Below are 20,000 nucleotides of genomic sequence, written 5' to 3' on the forward strand. Positions count from 1 at the left end.
GTAAAATTATCCAACAACTTAAAATGAAGAGATAATCATTATTACATTTTAGCATACTTTTAGTCACATACTTTTTTTCTCCAAGGCAAGTGCATGCATAAATAAACACATTTTAGCATAGTTTAGTATTATTTTCACTCAGTATTATTTATGAGTATTTAGTCATCATGAAAATTCTTGAAAAATAAATAAGCAGAGAGAAAAATGATGGAAACACCAAAATCCCATTAAGAGAAAGCCAAAGGAAACAGCGTAAAAGACATGTATTATTATGTATACTTCTAAAATTATTTTTCTAAAGTGGTATCTACACAGACATTACAAAAATATAATTTTCCTGCCTATATCTTATTTAAAAATTAATTCCATATTGTTGGAGGTAAAGGAATTTTCCTAATCCTTCACTATTAAAAAAAGAATGCTTTAGTTTGCACCCAAATTAGTTTGCACCCAAATTAGTTTCTTTCATTCCTAGATACAGAATACTGGATCAAAGAGTAGTAAGTTTAGAACTTATTCTTGAATATAGAAACCTTGTTTCCTAAGGAGAGGGTTGCATCACTTTACATTTCCATTAGCTTTCAATGAAAGCATCCATTTCAGTCCATTCTTATTTTCTAATTGAGCTGAAATTCACATAGCATACAATTAACTACTTTAGAGTGTAGAATCAAATGGCCTTTAGTGTATTTGCAATGTTGTGCAACTATCAATTCTCTCTTGTTTGCAAACTTTTTCATCACCCTATAACAACACCCTGTACTCCCCCAGTAACCTCTAATCTGCTTTCATTCTCTATGGATTTGTCTACTCTAGATACCTCATATAGAAGGTACCATACATGTGACCAACTGTGTCTGGCTTCTTTCACTTAGCATAATGTTTTCAAGGGTCATATAAGTTATAGTAAGTATCAGTACTGTCAGGCCTCTGAGCCCAAGCCAAGCCACTGCATCCCCTGTAACTTGCACATATACGCCCAGATGGCCTGAAGTAACGGAAGAATCACAAAAGTAGTGAATATGCCCTGCCCTGCCTTAACTGATGACATTCCACCACAAAAGAAGTGTAAATGGCCGGTCCTTGCCTTAACTGGTGATATTCCACCACAAAAGAAGTAAAAATGGCCGGTCCTTGCCTTAAGTGATGACATTACCTTGTGAAAGTCCTTTTCCTGGCTCAAAAACCTCCCCCACTGAGCACCTTGCGACCCCCACTCCTGCCCGCCAGAGAACAAACCCCCTTGACTGTAATTTTCCTTTACCTACCCAAAGCTTATAAAACGGCCCCACCCTTATCTCCCTTTGCTGACTCTCTTTTCAGACTCAGCCTGCCTGCACCCAGGTGATTAAAAGCTTTATTGCTCACACAAAGCGTGTTTGGTGGTCTCTTTACACGGACGCGCATGAAAAGTACTTCATCTCTTTTTATGGAAAAATAATATTCCATTTTATGTATACACTTTGATTTGTTTATCCATCCAGCTGTTGATGGCCATTTGGGTTGTTTAGTACCTTTTGGCTATTATGAACTATTTGGCTATTATTGCTGCTATGAATATGGATGTACAAATACCTCTTTGAGACCCTGCTTTCCGTTCTTTTGAGTATATATTAGAAATTCTGGATCATATGGTGATTCTAGGTTTAATTTTTTGAGGAACTGCCATATTGTTTTTCACAGCAGCTGCACCATTTTACATTCCCACCAGCAATGTATGAGGGTTCCTATTTTTCACAGCCTTGCTGACATGTCATTTTCAGTCTTTTAAATTAAAACCATCTTAGTGGTTCTGAAGTGGTAACTCAGTCTGGTTTTGACTTGCATTTCCTTCATGACCAATTATGTAGGACATCTTTTTCTGTGCTTATTGGCTACTTTGGAATTCTTTGGAGAAATGTCTAGTCCTTTGTCAATTTTATAATTGGGCTTTTTTTTGTTGTTGAATTGTAAACATTCTTTTTATAGTCTGGATACTAGAACTTTATCAGAGATAAGATTTGCAAATATTTTCTCCCTTTTCAGTTTGTTGAAAAGAAAAAAGACTTTTCTTTTGAGACAGGCTCTTGCTCTGTCACCCAGGCTGGAGTGCAGCGGCACAATCATGGCTCATTGCAGCCTCGATCTCCTGGGCTCCAGTGATCCCAGCTCAGCTTCCCAAGTAGCTTGGGAGCACAGGCCTGTGCCACTGCCTCTGGCTAATTAAAAGTTTTTTTTTTTTTTTTTTTTTTTCTAGAGACAAGGTCTCACTATATTGCCCATGCTGGTCTCAAATTCCTGGGCTCAAGCAAGCCTTATGCTGTGGCCTCCCAAAGTTCTGGGATTACAGGCATGAGCCACTGCACCTGGCTGAAAATGTTTTTTAATGCAAAAAAGCTTTACATTTTTGCAGAATCTAATCTATTTTTAAATTTTGTTACTAGTGCTTTTGGTGTCAAATCTAACAATCCATTGTCAAATCTGAGGAAATGCAGATCTACTTCTATGTTTGCTTCTAAGAATTTTGCAATCTTACCCCTTACATTGAGGTCCTTGATCCATGAGTTAATTATTATATATGAGTTAATTATTTTATATGGAGTCCCACTTCATTTTTTTTTACATGTCATTATACAAATGTTCTAGTATGATTTGTTGAAGGTACTCTTCTTTCTCCATTGAATGGTTGTGGTACTCCTGTCAAAAATTAATTTGCCATAGATATTTGGATTTATTTATGGGCTCTCAATTCTATTCCATTGGTTTATATGTCTGTCTTTTTGCCAGCACTATGCTTGTTGATTACTGTAGCTTTGTAGTAACTTTTGAATTTGGAAAGTGTAAGTCCTCTCAGCTTTGCTTTTGTTTTTCAATATTGTTTTGGCTTTTTGAGGCCCCTTACAGTTCCGTATCAATTTGAAGGTTGGCTTTTTATTTCTGCAAACAGACCACTTGAATCTGTAGATTGTTTTGGGGAATATTGCTATCTTAAAGTTTTCCAATCCATGAATATGGGATGTCTTTCCATTTATTAGATTTTCTTTAATTTCTCTCAGCAATGTTTTTTAGTTTTCAGTGGATAAATCTTTCAATTTTTTGGTTAAATATATTCCTAGGTGTTTTACTCTTCTAAATGTTGCAAACTGAACTATTTTTTTTTTCTTTTTTAAAAATTTCTTTGCTGGTATATGGAAACAACTGATTTTTGGGTGTTGATCTTGTTCCCTATAACTTTGCTGAATTTGTTAATTAGCTGCAGTATTTTTTTCTGTGAGTTATATGATATTTTCTGTATACAGAATCATGTCACCTGCAAATAGAAATCATTTTGCATGTTCCTAATTTAGAAGATTTTTATTTCTTTTTCTGGCCGAATTGCTAAGTGTAGGAATTCCAGTAAAAAGGTGAATAGCAGGAGTGAAAGTGGGCATCCTCATCTTCTTCCTGATCTTAGAAGAAATGCTTTCAGCTTTTCATCATACAGGATGATATTAGCTGTGATTTTTCTTATAAATGCCCTTTGTGATGTTAAGGAAGTTCCCTTCTATTCCTAGTTTGCTGAGTGTTTTAATTATAAAAGGATGTTGAGTTTTGTCAAATTTTTTTTAGTATCTATTGAAATGACCATATATTATTTTTCCCTTAGATCTATTAATGCCATGTATTACATTGATTGACTGTCTTAAGTTGAACAATCCTTGCATTCCTGGGACAAGTCCCATTTGGTCATAAAGTATAAATACTTTTAATGTGCTGCTGGATTTGCTTGGTAGTATTTTGTTGAAGATTTTTGTATCAATATTCATATGGGATACTGGTCTGTAGCTTTCTTGTAGTATCTTTGTCTGGGTTTGGTATGAGAGTAATGCTGGTCTCACAGAATGTGTTAGGGAGTATTTGCTTTTCTAGTTTTTGTAAGAGTTTCAGTAAAAGTGATGAAATTCTCCTTTCATGAAATTGTTGGTAGAATTTCATCAGTGCAGCCATCTGGTCCCTGAGTTTTCTTTTTCAGGAGGTTTTCAATTACTGATTCAATCTCTTTACTTGTTACAGGTAGGTTGACATTGTCTATTTCCTCTTGGGTCAGTTTTGTATTGTGTGTGTTTCTAGGGAACACTTTTTTTTTTTTTTGAGACAAGAGTCTTGCTCTGTTGTCCAGGCTGGAGTGCAATGGTGTGATCTTGGCTCACTGCAACCTTTACCTCCTGTGTTCAAGTGATTCTCCTGTCTCAGTCTCCCAAGTAGCTGGGATTACAGGCATGCATCACCACACCCAGCTAATTTTTGTATTTTTAGTAGAGACAGGGTTTCACCATGTTGGCCAGGCCGATCTCAAACTCCTGACCTTAGGTGATCTGCGCCTGCCTCAGCCTCCCAAAGTGCTGGGATTACAGGCACATCTTTGATTCATCTAGATTATCTTTTTTTTTTTTTTTTTGAGATGGAGACTCACTCTGTCACCCAGGCTGGAATGCAGTGGTATGATGTCAGCTCACTGCAACCTCTGCCTCCTGGGTTCAAGTGGTTCTCCTCCTCAGCCTCCCAAGTAGCTGGGATTATAGGCATACACCACCACACCCAGCTAATTTTTGTATTTTTAGTAGAGGTGGTGCTTCGTCATGTTGGCCAGGCTAGTCTCAAACTCCTGACCTCAGGTGATCTGCCTACCTCAGCCTCCCAAAGTGCTGGGATTACAAGCATGAGCCACTGTGCCTTTTTTTTTTTTTTTTTTTTGAGACAGGGTCTTGCTCTACCACACAGGCTGGAGTGCAGTGGCACAATCATGGCTCACTGCAGCCTTGAACTCCTGGGCTTAAGCCTCCTGAGTAGCTAGGACTACGGGTGCATGCCACCACACATGGCTAATTTTTTTGTAGAGACAAGGACTCACTGTGTTGCCTAGGCTGATCTCAAACTCCTGGCCTCAAGCATTCTTCATGCTTTGGCCTCTCAAAGTGTTGGGATTACAGGTGTGAGCCACTGTGCCTGGCCTAGATTGTCTAATTTGTTGATATGCAGTTGTTTATAGTATTATCAATCCTTTTAACTTCTATAAGGTCAGCAGCAAAGTCCCATTGTTCATTTCTGATTTTAGTTATTTGCCTTTTCCCTTTTTTTTTAAACACTCAGTCTAGCTAATAGATTGTCAATTTTGTTGATCTTTTCAAAGAACCAACTTTTGATTTCTATGATGATTATTTTTCTCTATTTCATTTATCTCTGCTGAAATCTTTATTATTTCCATCCTCCTGCTGGCTTTGAGTTTAGTCTGGTCTTCTTTTCAAGTTCCTTATGGTATAAAATTAGGTTGCTGATTTGAGATCGTTGTTTTTTTTTAACATTGCATTTACAGCCATAAAGTCCCTCTGAGTACTGCTTTTGCTTCATCCAATATGTTTGGTTTTGTTTGTGTTTTGTTTTTAGTTATCTCAAGATATTGTTTAGTTTTGTGATATATGTCTTATCTTCCTTAAGTTAACCATTCATGCAAAGTAGTGGCTGGATTACCTAAATACTCAGAGAGTATATAAAATATATGAATAGTTTTGTATCTGCTTGCTAATGAATGTTTATTTCATTAATGTCTTTATTTGCACAGAATTTGGTTAGAGATTTTCTTTTATGTTTACTGGCAGTAAGGAAAGTAGTTACCAATGTTTGGTAACTGTTACATTCTTTAATGGCTACAGTTATTGCCAAAAGAACCTAAGACTTATATATAATTAACTTGACTTAGGTTAGTCCCCAACACTCCCAAATGTATAATTCCAGCATAGACTGCCAGTCTCTGAACTCTAGGCTCTCATATCAAACTAAATGCTAAACATCAATATTTTCATGTCTAACACATATTACCAAGTTAATATATTCAAAACATAATCCCCAGGCCTGGGTGTGGTGGCTCACACCTGTAATCCCAGCATTTTGGGAGGCTGAGGCGGGTGGATCACCTGAGGTCAGGAGTTTGAGACCAGCCAGGCCAACACGGCAAAACCCTGTCTCTACTAAAAGGTACAAAAAAATTAGCCAGGCGTGGTGGCGCATGCCTGTAGTCCCAACTACTCGGGAGGCTGTGGCAGGAAAATCGCTTGAACCTGGGAGGCGCAGGTTGCAGTGAGCCATGATCGTGCCACTGCACTCTAGCCTGGCCAACAGAGTGAGACACCATTTCAAAACAAAACAACAACCAAAAAACCCCCCATAATCCCTGATTTTATTCCCCCTACCTGCTCTCCATCTCAGTTATGGCCATTCCAACTTTCCACTTAGTCATGCCAGTAACCCTATAGTTATAGTTACAGGCCTCTCTTTTTCTTATACCCTATATTCAATCTGCCAAGAAATTGAATAAATATCCACAATTTAAAATATATACAAACTCTAGACACTAATTTCTATTTCCACTGCTACCACCTTGGTCCAAGCCACCACCAACTTTTGCCTGAATTATTCTTATTATTTACCCCAAATAGGTATGTTCCTAAACTGAAGTATTTTAATAGCTTCTAGTTGGTCTCATTGCTTTAACTGTTGTTCCTTCTAGTCTGCAGTTTCACTCAGATTACAGTCTTGTCCTATGTCCTACTTAGTGTACACTCTCCACTTCCCATTTAACTGTGTCTTCATTTTCTACTCTGTAACCTCCCTCTTTCATTCTGCTGCAACTTACTGGCCTCTTCACTGTTCCTTGGAAAATCTAGGAGTGCTTATATATTAGGGCCTTTGCACTGGCTTTCTTCTTTGCCTGGAATAGCCTTCCAAAGATAACTACATGTCTAACTCCCTTACCTCCTTCAAATCCTTGTTCAAATGATATGTTCTCAGAGAGGCTTGCTCTGATAATCCTACATACAATCAAAGACCCTCTTGCCCAGCAATCCCAATCCCTTTTACTCTGCTTTATTCCCTCTTCCTCCCACCCACAGTACGTTAACACTGCCTAACACTAGATAGTATTAAATAACTTACTTAGTATGCCTATTGTCTGTCTTCCCCCACTAGAATGCAATCTCTATGAGGGCTGAGATTTGAGTCTGTTTTATTCACTTCTGTATTCTAAGACCCTAGAACAGGCCTAGCATATATTAGCCACTCAATATATTTTTGTTAAATTAATAAATAATTGAAAGAAAATTTAATCCTCCAAATGTGTCAGACCTAACACTTGTAACATATTTCAGTTGAAATATGGTATTAGACAACAAAAAATACTATATCAATTTATACCACATAAATGTTAGCACATCACGATTGTCTACCAAAAGTATCTGTGATAAGTTTTTAATATTTTATAATAAATACATTAAAGGCATTTGTGATATCAGACACTCCAACCACCAGATTCAAATGCCTGTGTGCTTTTGTCCAGGCTTGCATTATAGTCTGATTTTCCAATATACTTCAAGTACATGTTATTTATGTAATTTTTAAAAAATAAGTTTTCGCTGGGCGCAGTGGCTCACGCCTATAATCCCAGCACTTTGGGAGGCTGAGGTGGGTGGATCACTTGAGGTCAGGAGTTCGAGACCAGCCTGACCAACATGGTGGAACGCCACCTCTACTAAAAATACAAAATTAGCTGGGCATGGTGGCACGTGCCTGTAGTCCCAGCTACTTGGGAGGCTGAGGCAGGAGAATCACTTGAACCAGGGAGGTGGAGGTTGTAGTGAGCTGAGATTGTGCCACTGCATTCCAGCCTGGACAACAAGAGCAAAACTGTCTCAAAAAACAAAACAAAACAAAAAACAAAAACAAACAAAAAAAGTTTTCAAGGTTGCTTTGTTCTTATTCTCCATGAGAATACTACACTGACATGCAACTTTGATTAATGTCATTCAGGTTATGTTGTAATTTAGGATCCTGAATTAATTAACAATGCAGTATAGGAGATATATTACATTGTAATAATTCCCATGCATTCTATTTTTAGGCAAGATATTGAAGCCAACTTTGCTGTCTACAAATACTAGATATGAAGTATTAGATTCTAGCGCTAGAATACTCTAGCTCTGACATCTATTTGTCAAAAATAGAACTTAAATAATACATACACGCTGATATAACAGGTAGGAAGAGGAAGACCCACTAGCTGAAGAAAAAAGTCACTGAAAACTTACCTTTCTTGGTATGTGAACATGAGTGTGTGTGCGCGTGTATGTGTTTTTCTCTGAGTCAACATAACACTGAATTCTATTTCTCTGAAAGGTTTTTATGTTTTTTTTAGATAGAGTCTTGCTCTGTCTTGCCCAGGCTGGAGTGCAGTGGTACGATCTCGGCTCAGTGCAGCCTCCGCCTCCCACGTTCAAGCAATTCTCCTGCCTCAGCCTCCTGAGTAGCAGGAATTAGAGGCGTACACCACCATGTCCGGCTAATTTTGTATTTTTAGTAGAGACAGGGTTTCACCATGTTGGCCAGGCTGGTCTCGAATTCCTGACCTCAGGTGATCCACCCGCCTCTGCCTCCCAAAGTGCTGGGATTACAGGCATGAGCCACCGCGCCCGGCCTCTCTGAAAGGTTTTAAACCACAAGGAATTTTCATCTAACGGTAATACCTACAACTCTACTGGCACTGCCCTGAGTCAAGGAAAAATGATATCTCGATGAAAAGAAGATATAAGATAAAAGGACACATTCAGATAATCAATATTTTGTGTAACTCGAAGAGAAAATTGTTCCAAGAAGTTGTTAATCTCAAACTGACAGTAACAATATCTGAAACAGTCTGTCATCTTATCTGATAATCATGGTATCTGAAGCAATACTATACTGACATTAATTAAAATGGAGACAAAGAACACCAAAAGAGAATAAAGGATAAAAATTAGAATATTTTCTGTAAGAAATAATAAAAGATTTGACAGGTTTTGAATGATTATAATGTGCCAGAATCTGTGGCAAGTACTTCTTGTGTACTATTTCAACTATTCTTAACAATAATTGTATGAGGGTAGATAATATTATTATCTTTATCATGAGGAAATTTAAGAAAATTTAAAACTTTAATTTTAATTAAATTAATTATATTAATACATAAATTATTTAATAATTTAAATTTAAATTATTTTAATTTTAATTAAATAAACAAGAAAAGTGAAGCTAAGACTCTGAAAGAAAAATATATTCACAGATAGCTTTAATATTATTTCATTACATAGGGCTGGGATTTAATTTCAGCAGCCTAATTCCAAATCCCATGCCCTTTAGCCTTTATCATCATCCAAGATTTTGTCTTCAGAAGAAAAAGAAGTGCAGTATTTGTCTTACTGCTCTATGAAAAGGACTTCTAATGACAAGGAGCAACCTCTCCAATGCCAGTTGCTCCTATTACTCCTTGCCTCTCTATCCTATTTGTGGGGTCTTATGATACATGTTCTGGGAATCGGGAACATTGTATACCCAGTCAAAGGTTCCAGCTACCATGGCATGTTTTGACTTTTGTGGCAATTTTTTGTGATGCAGTCTTGCTATGTGGCTCAGGTAGGAGTGCAGTGGTTAGTCACAGATGTGACTGTAGATCACCACAGCCTAGAACTCAAGGGATTCTTCTGCCTCAGCCTCCTGAGTAGCTGGGAGTACAGGTGTGTACCACTGTGCCCGGCTAATGTTTACAAGTCCAGGGTGTGCTTCATTGGTGTGTCTAAGCTCACTGAGCACACCTTGAGCTTTGGGAGGTTCCTATTGTAGACCTAAAGTTGGGCTGTTGATGCAGTTCTCTGGGGAATGAGCCTGGTTACTCTTGTTGATCTTTAATGAGGGACGCCAATTTGCTCAGGAAGAGTTTAATCCAGTTATATCCCTGCAGGGTAAGAATATGAAAAAGACACTGTGGCTATGGACTAGCCTGTGACCTACACTACTAAGCTGAAGTTCTCTGGCTCATTCCAGATAGTTCAAAGGGTTACACTTGGCAGAGTGAAAATTTCAGGACTGTTCTCATTACTCACAGGGGAATTCTAAGAGAAACACCATGTTTTTGTTCCACCTGGTGTGACTGTTAAATTACATTTTTAAATAAGAAAATATGAGTAAGAGAATCAGATAAAAGACAATTTTTTTTTTGTGAGGAAGATATGTAATTTGGAGAACGGCAAGCTGGATAATAACAGGAATGGCAGAAGTTAAGAAGAGTGAAGCGAAGACTCTGAAAGAAAAATATATTCACAGATAGCTTTAATATTAAACATATGTCATTACATAGGGACTCTAACCTACAAATGATTTGGCCAGTGGCATTTCCTCTTACTAACTAGCATGTACATTTTAATGGCCTGTTTCTAATTTTCTAGCTGCCTAAGAGAATCATACATTTGTTATATTGTCACATCTGCCTTGAGTCTTTCAACTATAAGTGACAGCTATTTCCTAATCAATGTGTTCTTTGCCCATTAGGTGACTGATAGGTTATTCTTCTTTCTGGTAGCAGGATGGGATGGAGAAAGAGACTGTGTTCCAAGTATTGATATGTTTGTTTTCTCATCCCAAAATTATCAGAGTAATCAGTATTCTATTAAAGTCAATGGTTCAAGCCTTTTTTGATAAGTGATAAAATTAACAATTAAAAAATACACTATCACTTGCTTTCCTTTGCTGCTAGTCTAATTGCATTGCTAAGAGGGTTTCTCATACATCTTCTTCTTCTTTTTTTTTTTTTTTTTTAAACAGAGATGGGGCCTTGCTCTGTGACCCAGGCTGGAGTGCCTATGATCACACCATAGCTTACTGCAGCCTTGAACTCCTAGGCTCAAGTGATCCTCTGGCCTCATCCTCCAGAGTAGCTGGGAGTATAGGCACATGACATCATATCTGGCTAATTTATTTTTATTTTTTAAAATTTTTAAGGGAAGGGGTCTCACTGTCTTGCCCAAGCTGGTTTCGAGCTCTGAGCTACAAGTGATCCTCCCACCTCAGCCTCCTGAGTAGCTGGGATTACAGGTGTGAGCCACATCACCAGGCTGATATATCTATTAAAATCTTCCCGGCTATACAATTATCATACTCCCTTGTTTCTAAATGCCAACTTGGGGTAATAATTTGTGTTATTTAATGTGATGAGACTCATTATAAAGTGTATAGTATTTGATATAAAGTATATCAAATCAGATGGTCTAGCCAGAAAAAAGGCTAGCAATTAAATTGGAGTTTATGGTCTACTCTGATAATGTGACTATTTCCTTGATATGTTTAAATATGTACAAAAAAGGTGTTCCATGTATCAAACAACTGACATGTAAACTTTTAGAAAAGAATATGTATGTTAAATGCCGCATATACATATTGTAATTCTATAAGATATCAATTAAAAAATATAAAGTGATTTTAATGACTTCTTATTTAAATATTTGTTTTGATCTGAGAACCCAATGCCCTGAATATTCTGGATAACAGAAGATCATGGTTGTTATACTAATTTCCAGTAAAATCCCAGGGACCACCTTTTAAATAAAAATTATCAACTAGGCTAGAATATTGGCCAAAGAAAGCAAGTGATGAAATGTATTACTGCAGTGATGATTTTTAACATTTAAATTAATTGCTGAAGTATTTAGCTAGCTAATTCCTATATATAGAGTACAGTAATTGCTAAGGGACTATTTATTGTTAACAGGATAAACTTAATTGTACAATATCATAATTTGACACCCAGAATTCAGAAGTGAAAACAAAAAAGGACAAAATAGATTTTGAATGTAAAAAGACGCCAAAAGATATTATGACTGAGAATAAAGATATTAACATTTAATTTTAAAATTTGGAGATGTTTTAGGCTATAGTCACCTGACATTTAAGACACTTGTTAAATCATACAGCTTATCCTCTTATTTTTCTGTTTTAAAATTCACTGACTTTAATTAAATGGATGGTTACCCACATAGAAAAAAGAACATAGCAGCTGGGCTCTGCCTGATGGTAAAATCTTCTCCTGGCCTGTTCAACTAAGGCACACCATTTTACTTGGACTTTGGGAAAATCTAGTTTCCAATGTGAGTGGATTTTGTGACAAAATTATAAATCCAAGACCTGTGTTATTTTAGTGTCACTGTATAAATGCTCCTGGTTTTTAAACAGTCCTACTTAGTGCTCAGCATAAAGACAAGAAATAATACCACACATCTACAACTATCTGATCTTTGACAAACCTGACAAAAACAAGAAATGGGGAAAGGATTCCCTATTTAATAAATGGTGCTGGGAAAACTGGCTAGACATATGTAGAAAGCTGAAACTGCATCCCTTCCTTACACCTTATACAAAAATTAATTCAAGATGGATTAAAGACTTAAATGTTAGACCTAAAACCATAAAAACCCTAGAAGAAAACCTAGGCAATACCATTCAGGACATAGCTATGGGCAAGGACTTCATGTCTAAAACACCAAAAGCAATGGCAACAAAAGCCAAAATTGACAAATGGGATCTAATTAAACTAAAGAGCTTCTTCACAGCAAAAGAAACTACCATCAGAGTGAACAGGCAACCTACAGAATGGGAGAAAATTTTTACAATCTACCCATCTGACAAAGGGCTAATATCCAGAATCTACAATGAACTTAAACAAATTTACAAGAAAAAATCAAACAACCCCATCAAAAAGTGGGCAAAGGATATGAACAGACACTTCTCAAAAGAAGACATTTATACAGCCAACAGACACATGAAAAAATGCTCATCATCACTGGCCATCAGAGAAATGCAAATCAAAACCACAATGAGATACCATCTCACACCAGTTAGAATGGCGATCATTAAAAAGTCAGGAAACAACAGGTGCTGGAGAGGATGTGGAGAAATAGGAACACTTTTACACTGTTGGTGGGACTGTAAACTAGTTCAACCATTGTGGAAGACAGTGTGGCAATTCCTCAAGGATCTAGAACTAGAAATACCATTTGACCCAGCCATCCCATTACTGGGTATATACCCAAAGAATTATAAATCATGCTGCTATAAAGACACATGCGCACATATGTTTATTGCGGCATTATTCACAATAGCAAAGACTTGGAACCAACCCAAATGTCCATCAATGATAGATTGGATTAAGAAAATGTGGCACATATACACCATGGAATACTATGCAGCACACCAACATGGCACATGTATACATATGTAACAAACCTGCATGTTGTGCACATGTACCCTAGAACTTAAAGTATATAAAAAAATTGATCAAGAGGGATTTTATTGTGAGGGGATTGAAATGTTCTAGAGCTGATTTACAGTAATGGTTGTACTGAGTAAAGTCACTAAAAATCATTGAATTGTACACTTAAGATGAATAATTTTTTGATATGTAAAATATACCTTCATAAAGTTGTTTTTATTTAAAAAAAAAGAAATAAGCTGTCTTCACGGAAAGCCATAATCCATGAGAGAAGTGGTTAATACCTTTTAAAAGTATGTGGTGGTACTAGGATCTCTAGAATGTGGCTCCAGAAAGAAAGATCTTAAATTACCCTAAGTGAATAGTATATGGGGAATTTGTGAGGCTCCATGCTCAAATGCTGAGTTCTTAGATTTTTGGAAGTTAGGATCATCACTGTTTATAGAAAACTTCTTAAAACGACGGTTGTCCTCTTTTCCTGAAAGTTGAGTTATGATTGTGAATAAAGGAATCCACTGACTGACTGTTACTCCTTTGGCATATTTTGAATTATATCTGAACTCAGTTTATAGATAGCTGATAGGATGAAGTGATGAAATATGTGGTAGACAGAAAGAAGTTTCATTAAAAGAGGTGCTTAGATACTTCCAGTCTAGGTAATTATTCATTTTCACGCTCTATTCCCGGGGAATACAGCATAGTGGCTGGCACACAGTAGGCACTTAGTAGATGTCTGCTATAATAAACTGAAGGTTTGGGAGTAAATAAATTTGTGCAGTTGTTTTAGTTTTCCTTGAAGTCTTATGATATGCCATGTCAGTGATTACGTGGAAGACATCTATTTGGGCTTTGAATAACAACATGATATCAGCTTACCTAATGGGCTTGAACAAACGTGTAGGGAACACAGGAGACTTGAAAATATGGTATTATTGCCCTCTCCCTCTCCCTCCCCCTCCCCCTCTCCCCACGGTCTCCCTCTCCCTCTCTTTCCACGGTCTCCCTCTGATGCCGAGCCAAAGCTGGACTGTACTGCTGCCATCTCGGCTCACTGCAATCTCCCTGCCTGATTCTCCTGCCTCAGCCTGCTGAGTGCCTGCAATTGCAGGCACGCGCCGCCACGCCTGACTGTTTTTCGTATTTTTTTGGTGGAGATGGGGTTTCGCTGTGTTGGCCAGGCTGGTCTCCAGCTCCTAACCGTGAGTGATCCGCCAGCCTCGGCCTCCCGAGGTGCCGGGATTGCAGACGGAGTCTCGTTCACTCAGTGCTCAATGGTGCCCAGGCTGGGGTGCAGTGGCATGATCTCAGCTCGCTACAACCTCCACCTCCCAGCCGCCTGCCTTGGCGTCCCAAAGTGCCGAGATTGCAGCCTCTGCCCGGCCGCCACCCCGTCTGGGAAGTGAGGAGCGTCTCTGCCTGGCCGCCCATCGTCTGGGATGTGAGGAGCCCCTCTGCCTGGCTGCCCAGTCTGGAAAGTGAGGAGCGTCTCTGCCCGGCTGCCATCCTGTCTAGGAAGTGAGGAGCGTCTCTGCCCGGCCGCCCATCATCTGGGATGTGAGAAGCCCCTCTGCCTGGCTGCCCAGTCTGGAAAGTGAGGAGCGTCTCTGCCCGGCCGCCATACCATCTAGGAAGTCACGAGCGCCTCTTCCAGGCTGCCATCCCATCTAGGAAGTGAGGAGCGTCTCTGCCCGGCCGCCCATCGTCTGAGATGTGGGGAGCGCCGCTGCCCCACCGCCCCATCTGGGATGTGAGGAGCGCCTCTGCCCGGCCGCCCCATCTGAGAAGTGAGGAGACCCTCTGCCCGGCAGCCGCCCCGTCTGAGAAGTGAGGAGCCCCTCCGCCCGGCAGCCACCCCGTCTGGGAAGTGAGGAGCGTCTCTGTCTGGGAAGTGAGGAGCGTCTCCGCCTGGCAGCCGCCCCGTCCGGGAGGGAGGTGGGGGGGTCAGCCCCCCGCCCGGCCAGCCACCCCGTCCGGCAGGGAGATGGGGGGGTCAGCCCCCCCGCCCGGCCAGCCGCCCCGTCCGGGAGGGAGGTGGGGGGGGTCAGCCCCCCCGCCCGGCCAGCCGCCCCGTCCGGGAGGGAGGTGGGGGGGTCAGCCCCCCCACCCGGCCAGCCTCCCCGTCTGGCAGGGAGGTGGGGGGGGGTCAGCCCCCCCGCCCGGCCAGCCGCCCCGTCCAGGAGGGAGGTGAGGGGCGCCTCTGCCCGGCCGCCCCTACTGGGAAGTGAGGAGCCCCTCTGCCCGGCCACCACCCCATCTGGGAGGTGTACCCAACAGCTCATTGAGAATGGGCCATGATGACAATGGCGGTTTTGTGGAATAGTAAAGGGGGAAAGGTGGGGAAAAGATTGAGAAATCGGATGTTTGCTGTGTCTGTGTAGAAAGAGGTAGACATGGGAGACTTTTCATTTTGTTCTGTACTAAGAAAAATTATTCTGCCTTGGGATCCTGTTGATCTATGACCTTACCCCCAACCCTGTGCTCTCTGAAACATGTGCTGTGTCCACTCAGGTTAAATGGATTAAGGGCGGTGCAAGATGTGCTTTGTTAAACAGATGCTTGAAGGCAGCAGGCTCCTTAAGAGTCATCACCACTCCCTAATCTCAAGTACCCAGGGACACAAACACTGCGGAAGGCCACAGGGTCCTCTGCCTAGGAAAACCAGATACCTTTGTTCACTTGTTTATCTGCTGACCTTCCCTCCACTATTGTCCTATGACCCTGTCAAATCCCCCTCTGCGAGAAACATCCAAGAATGATCAATTAAAAAAAAAAAAAACAAAAAAACAGGGAAATTCAGAAGAATTTTAAGTAGGGGAATAAAATGGGCAAATATGTATTAAGGGATGCTCATTCTGGCAGCAATGGGAGCATACATTAGAGATTTGCCATTTTGGATAAAATATGAGATGTCTAGTAGACGATGGGAATCAAAAATTAAAGAGACAACTGTTATTACTTAGGTGGCTCTCAAAAAAAAAAAAAGAAAATATGGTATTATGGGAAACACATGGGATTTGAATGCCAAAAGTATGTACTTTAACACTGATTTATTTGATCTTTAGTAATCCCTTGACCCCCTTGAGCCTTAGTTTGTGTATTCATTCATCTAAACATTTAGTGAATGTACACTGTATGCCTTTTACACAGATGAAAGAGAGACAAACCTTGACCTGGAGATGCTTAAAGGTACAAAAACGAAAATATAATGGAATGTTTCCTCATTTGTAGAATTAGAATAACTATAGCAAACAGTATCATCTACTGCATGGATTCGGTGAGGAAATTACCAGATAATTAATAGTACTTAACTTCTAATGTTTTATAAAACTGCTTTGTAGGTGGGAGGAGCCAAGATGGCCGAATAGGAAAAGCTCCGGTCTACAGCTCCCAGCGTGAGCAACGCAGAAGACGGGTGATTTCTGCATTTCCATCTGAGGTACCGGGTTCATCTCACTAGGGAGTGCCAGACGGTGGGTGCAGGTCAGTGGGTGCGCACACCGTGCGCGAGCGGAAGCAGGGCGAGCCATTGCCTCACTCGGGAAGCGCAAGGGGTCAGGGAGTTCCCTTTCCTAGTCAAAGAAAGGGGTGACAGACGGCACCTGGAAAATCGGGTCACTCCCACCCGAATACCGCGCTTTTCCGACGGGCTTAAAAAACGGCGCACAAGAGATTATATCCCGCATCTGGCTCGCACCTGGCTTGGAGGGTCCTACGCCCACGGAGTCTCGCTGATTGCCAGCACAGCAGTCTGAGATCAAACTGCAAGGCGGCAGCGAGGCTGGGGGAGGGGTGCCCACCATTGCCCAGGCTTGCTTAGGTAAACAAAGCAGCCTGGAAGCTCGAACTGGGTGGAGCCCACCACAGCTCCAGGAGGCCTGCCTGCCTCTGTAGGCTCCACCTCTGGGGGCAGGGCACAGACAAACAAAAAGACAGCAGTAACCTCTGCAGACTTAAATGTCCCTGTCTGACAGCTTTGAAGAGAGCAGTGGTTCTCCCAGCACGCAGCTGGAGATCTGAGAACGGGCAGACTGCCTCCTCAAGTGGGTCCCTGACCCCTGACCCCTGACCCCCAGGCAGCCTAACTGGGAGGCACCGCCCAGCAGGGGCAGACTGACACCTCGCACGGCCGGGTACTCCAACAGACCTGCAGCTGAGGGTCCTGTCTGTTAGAAGGAAAACTAACAAACAGAAAGGACATCCACACCAAAAACCCATCTGTACATCACCATCATCAAAGACCAAAAGAAGATAAAACCACAAAGATGGGGAAAAAACAGAGCAGAAAAACTGGAAACTCTAAAAAGCAGAGCGCCTCTCCTCCTCCAAAGGAACGCAGTTCCTCACTAGCAACGGAACAAAGCTGGACGGAGAATGACTTTGACGAGCTGAGAGAAGAAGGCTTCAGACGATCAAATTACTCTGAGCTACAGGAGGACATTCAAACCAAAGGCAAAGAAGTTGAAAACTTTGAAAAAAATTTAGAAGAATGTATAACTACAATAACCAATACAGAGAAGTGCTTAAAGGAGCTGATGGAGCTGAAAACCAAGGCTCGAGAACTAGGTGAAGAATGCAGAAGCCTCAGGAGCCGATGCGATCAACTGGAAGAAAGGGTATCAGCAATGAAAGATGAAATGAAGCGAGAAGGGAAGTTTAGAGAAAAAAGAATAAAAAGAAATGAGCAAAGCCTCCAAGAAATATGGGAATATGTGAAAAGACCAAATCTACGTGTGACTGGTGTACCTGAAAGTGACGGGGAGAATGGAACCAAGTTGGAAAACATTCTGCAGGATATTATCCAGGAGAACTTCCCCAGTCTAGCAAGGAAGGCCAACATTCAGGTTCAGGAAATACAGAGAACGCCACAAAGATACTCCTCGAGAAGAGCAACTCCAGGACACATAATTGTCAGATTCACCAAAGTGGAAATGAAGGAAAAAATGTTAAGGGCAGCCAGAGAGAAAGGTCGGGTTACCCACAAAGGGAAGCCCATCAGACTAACAGCAGATCTCTCGGCAGAAACGCTACAAGCCAGAAGAGAGTGGGGGCCAATATTCAACATTCTTAAAGAAAAGAATTTTCAACCCAGAATTTCATATCCAGCCAAACTAAGCTTCATAAGTGAAGGAGAAATAAAATACTTTCCAGACAAGCAAATGCTGAGAGATTTTGTCACCACCAGGCCTGCCCTAAAAGAGCTCCTGAAGGAAGCGCTAAACATGGAAAGGAACAACTGGTACCAGCCGCTGCAAAATCATGCCAAAATGTAAAGACCATCGAGACTAGGAAGAAACTGCGTCAACTAATGAGCAAAATAACCAGCTAACATCATAATGACAGGACCAAATTCACACATAACAATATTAACTTTAAATGTAAATGGACTAAATGCTCCAATTAAAAGACACAGACTGGCAAATTGGATAAAGAGTCAAGACCCATCAGTGTGCTATATTCAGAAAACCCATCTCACGTGCAGAGACACACATAGGCTCAAAATAAAAGGATGGAGGAAGATCTACCAAGCAAATGGAAAACAAAAAAAGGCAGGGGTTGCAATCCTAGTCTCTGATAAAACAGACTTTAAACCAACAAAGATCAAAAGAGACAAAGAAGGCCATTACATAATGGTAAAGGGATCAATTCAACAAGAAGAGCTAACTATCCTAAATATATATGCACCCAATACAGGAGCACCCAGATTCATAAAGCAAGTCCTGAGTGACCTACAAAGAGACTTAGACTCCCACACATTAGTAATGGGAGACTTTAACACCCCACTGTCAACATTAGACAGATCAGCGAGACAGAAAGTCAAAAGGATACCCAGGAATTGAACTCAGCTCTGCACCAAGCGGACCTAATAGACAGCTACAGAACTCTCCACCCCAAATCAACAGAATATACATTTTTTCAGCACCACACCACACCTATTCCAAAATTGACTACATACTTGGAAGTAAATGTAAAAGAACAGAAATTATAACAAACTGTCTCTCAGACAAAGTGCAATCAAACTAGAACTCAGGATTAAGAATCTCACTCAAAACCGCTCAACTACATGGAAACTGAACAACCTGCTCCTGAATGACTACTGGGTACATAATGAAATGAAGGCAGAAATAAAGATGTTCTTTGAAACCAATGAGAACAAAGACACAACATACCAGAATCTCTGGGACACATTCAAAGCAGTGTGTAGAGGGAAATTTATAGCACTAAATGCCCACAAGAGAGCAGGAAAGATCCAAAATTGACACCCTAACATCACAATTAAAAGAACTAGAAAAGCAAGAGCAAACACATTCAAAAGCTAGCAGAAGGTAAGAAATAACTAAAATCAGAGCAGAACTGAAGGAAATAGGGACACAAAAAACCCTTCAAAAAATTAATGAATCCAGAAGCTGGTTTTCTGAAAAGATCAACAAAACTGATAGACCGCTAGCAAGACTAATAAAGAAGAAAAGAGAGAAGAATCAAATAGATGCAATAAAAAATGATAAAGGGGATATCACCACCGATCCCACAGAAATACAAACTACCATCAGAGAATACTACAAACATCTCTATGCAAATAAACTAGAAAATCTAGAAGAAATGGATAAATTCCTCGACACATACACCCTCCCAAGACTAAACCAGGAAGAAGTTGAATCTCTGAATAGACCAATAACAGGAGCTGAAATTGTGGCAATAATCAATAGCTTACCAACCAAAAAGAGTCCAGGACCAGATGGATTCACAGCCGAATTCTACCAGAGGTACAAGGAGGAACTGGTACCATTCCTTCTGAAAGTATTCCAATCAACAGAAAAAGAGGGAATCCTCCCTAACTCATTTTATGAGGCCAGCATCATCCTGACGCCAAAGCCGGGCAGAGACACAAGCAAAAAAGAGAATTTTAGACCAATATCCTTGA

General features: G+C 40.5%; 1 protein-coding gene across 2 annotated transcripts in view, besides 4 other annotated features; it reads right to left on the reverse strand.

The window, feature by feature from the left end:
• ITFG1 (integrin alpha FG-GAP repeat containing 1) overlaps positions 1-20,000 on the reverse strand; it is a 306,856-nt gene that overhangs the window by 11,946 nt on the left and 274,910 nt on the right. The window lies entirely within an intron of this gene.
• Positions 580-1,509: an enhancer, noted in NCBI's record as "OCT4-NANOG hESC enhancer chr16:47200827-47201756 (GRCh37/hg19 assembly coordinates)". NCBI's record gives its function as "activates a minimal SCP1, AML or CMV promoter by ChIP-STARR-seq in naive and primed H9 embryonic stem cells {active_cell/tissue: H9 hESC(naive and primed)}" and the evidence as "EXISTENCE:reporter gene assay evidence [ECO:0000049][PMID:30033119]".
• Positions 13,706-14,257: an enhancer, noted in NCBI's record as "H3K4me1 hESC enhancer chr16:47213953-47214504 (GRCh37/hg19 assembly coordinates)". NCBI's record gives its function as "activates a minimal SCP1, AML or CMV promoter by ChIP-STARR-seq in naive H9 embryonic stem cells {active_cell/tissue: H9 hESC(naive)}" and the evidence as "EXISTENCE:reporter gene assay evidence [ECO:0000049][PMID:30033119]".
• Positions 14,258-14,809: an enhancer, noted in NCBI's record as "H3K27ac-H3K4me1 hESC enhancer chr16:47214505-47215056 (GRCh37/hg19 assembly coordinates)". NCBI's record gives its function as "activates a minimal SCP1, AML or CMV promoter by ChIP-STARR-seq in primed H9 embryonic stem cells {active_cell/tissue: H9 hESC(primed)}" and the evidence as "EXISTENCE:reporter gene assay evidence [ECO:0000049][PMID:30033119]".
• Positions 14,810-15,361: an enhancer, noted in NCBI's record as "H3K27ac hESC enhancer chr16:47215057-47215608 (GRCh37/hg19 assembly coordinates)". NCBI's record gives its function as "activates a minimal SCP1, AML or CMV promoter by ChIP-STARR-seq in primed H9 embryonic stem cells {active_cell/tissue: H9 hESC(primed)}" and the evidence as "EXISTENCE:reporter gene assay evidence [ECO:0000049][PMID:30033119]".

The sequence above is a fragment of the Homo sapiens genome, chromosome 16 (assembly GCF_000001405.40).
Source record: "Homo sapiens chromosome 16, GRCh38.p14 Primary Assembly".
Taxonomy (NCBI): domain Eukaryota; kingdom Metazoa; phylum Chordata; class Mammalia; order Primates; family Hominidae; genus Homo; species Homo sapiens.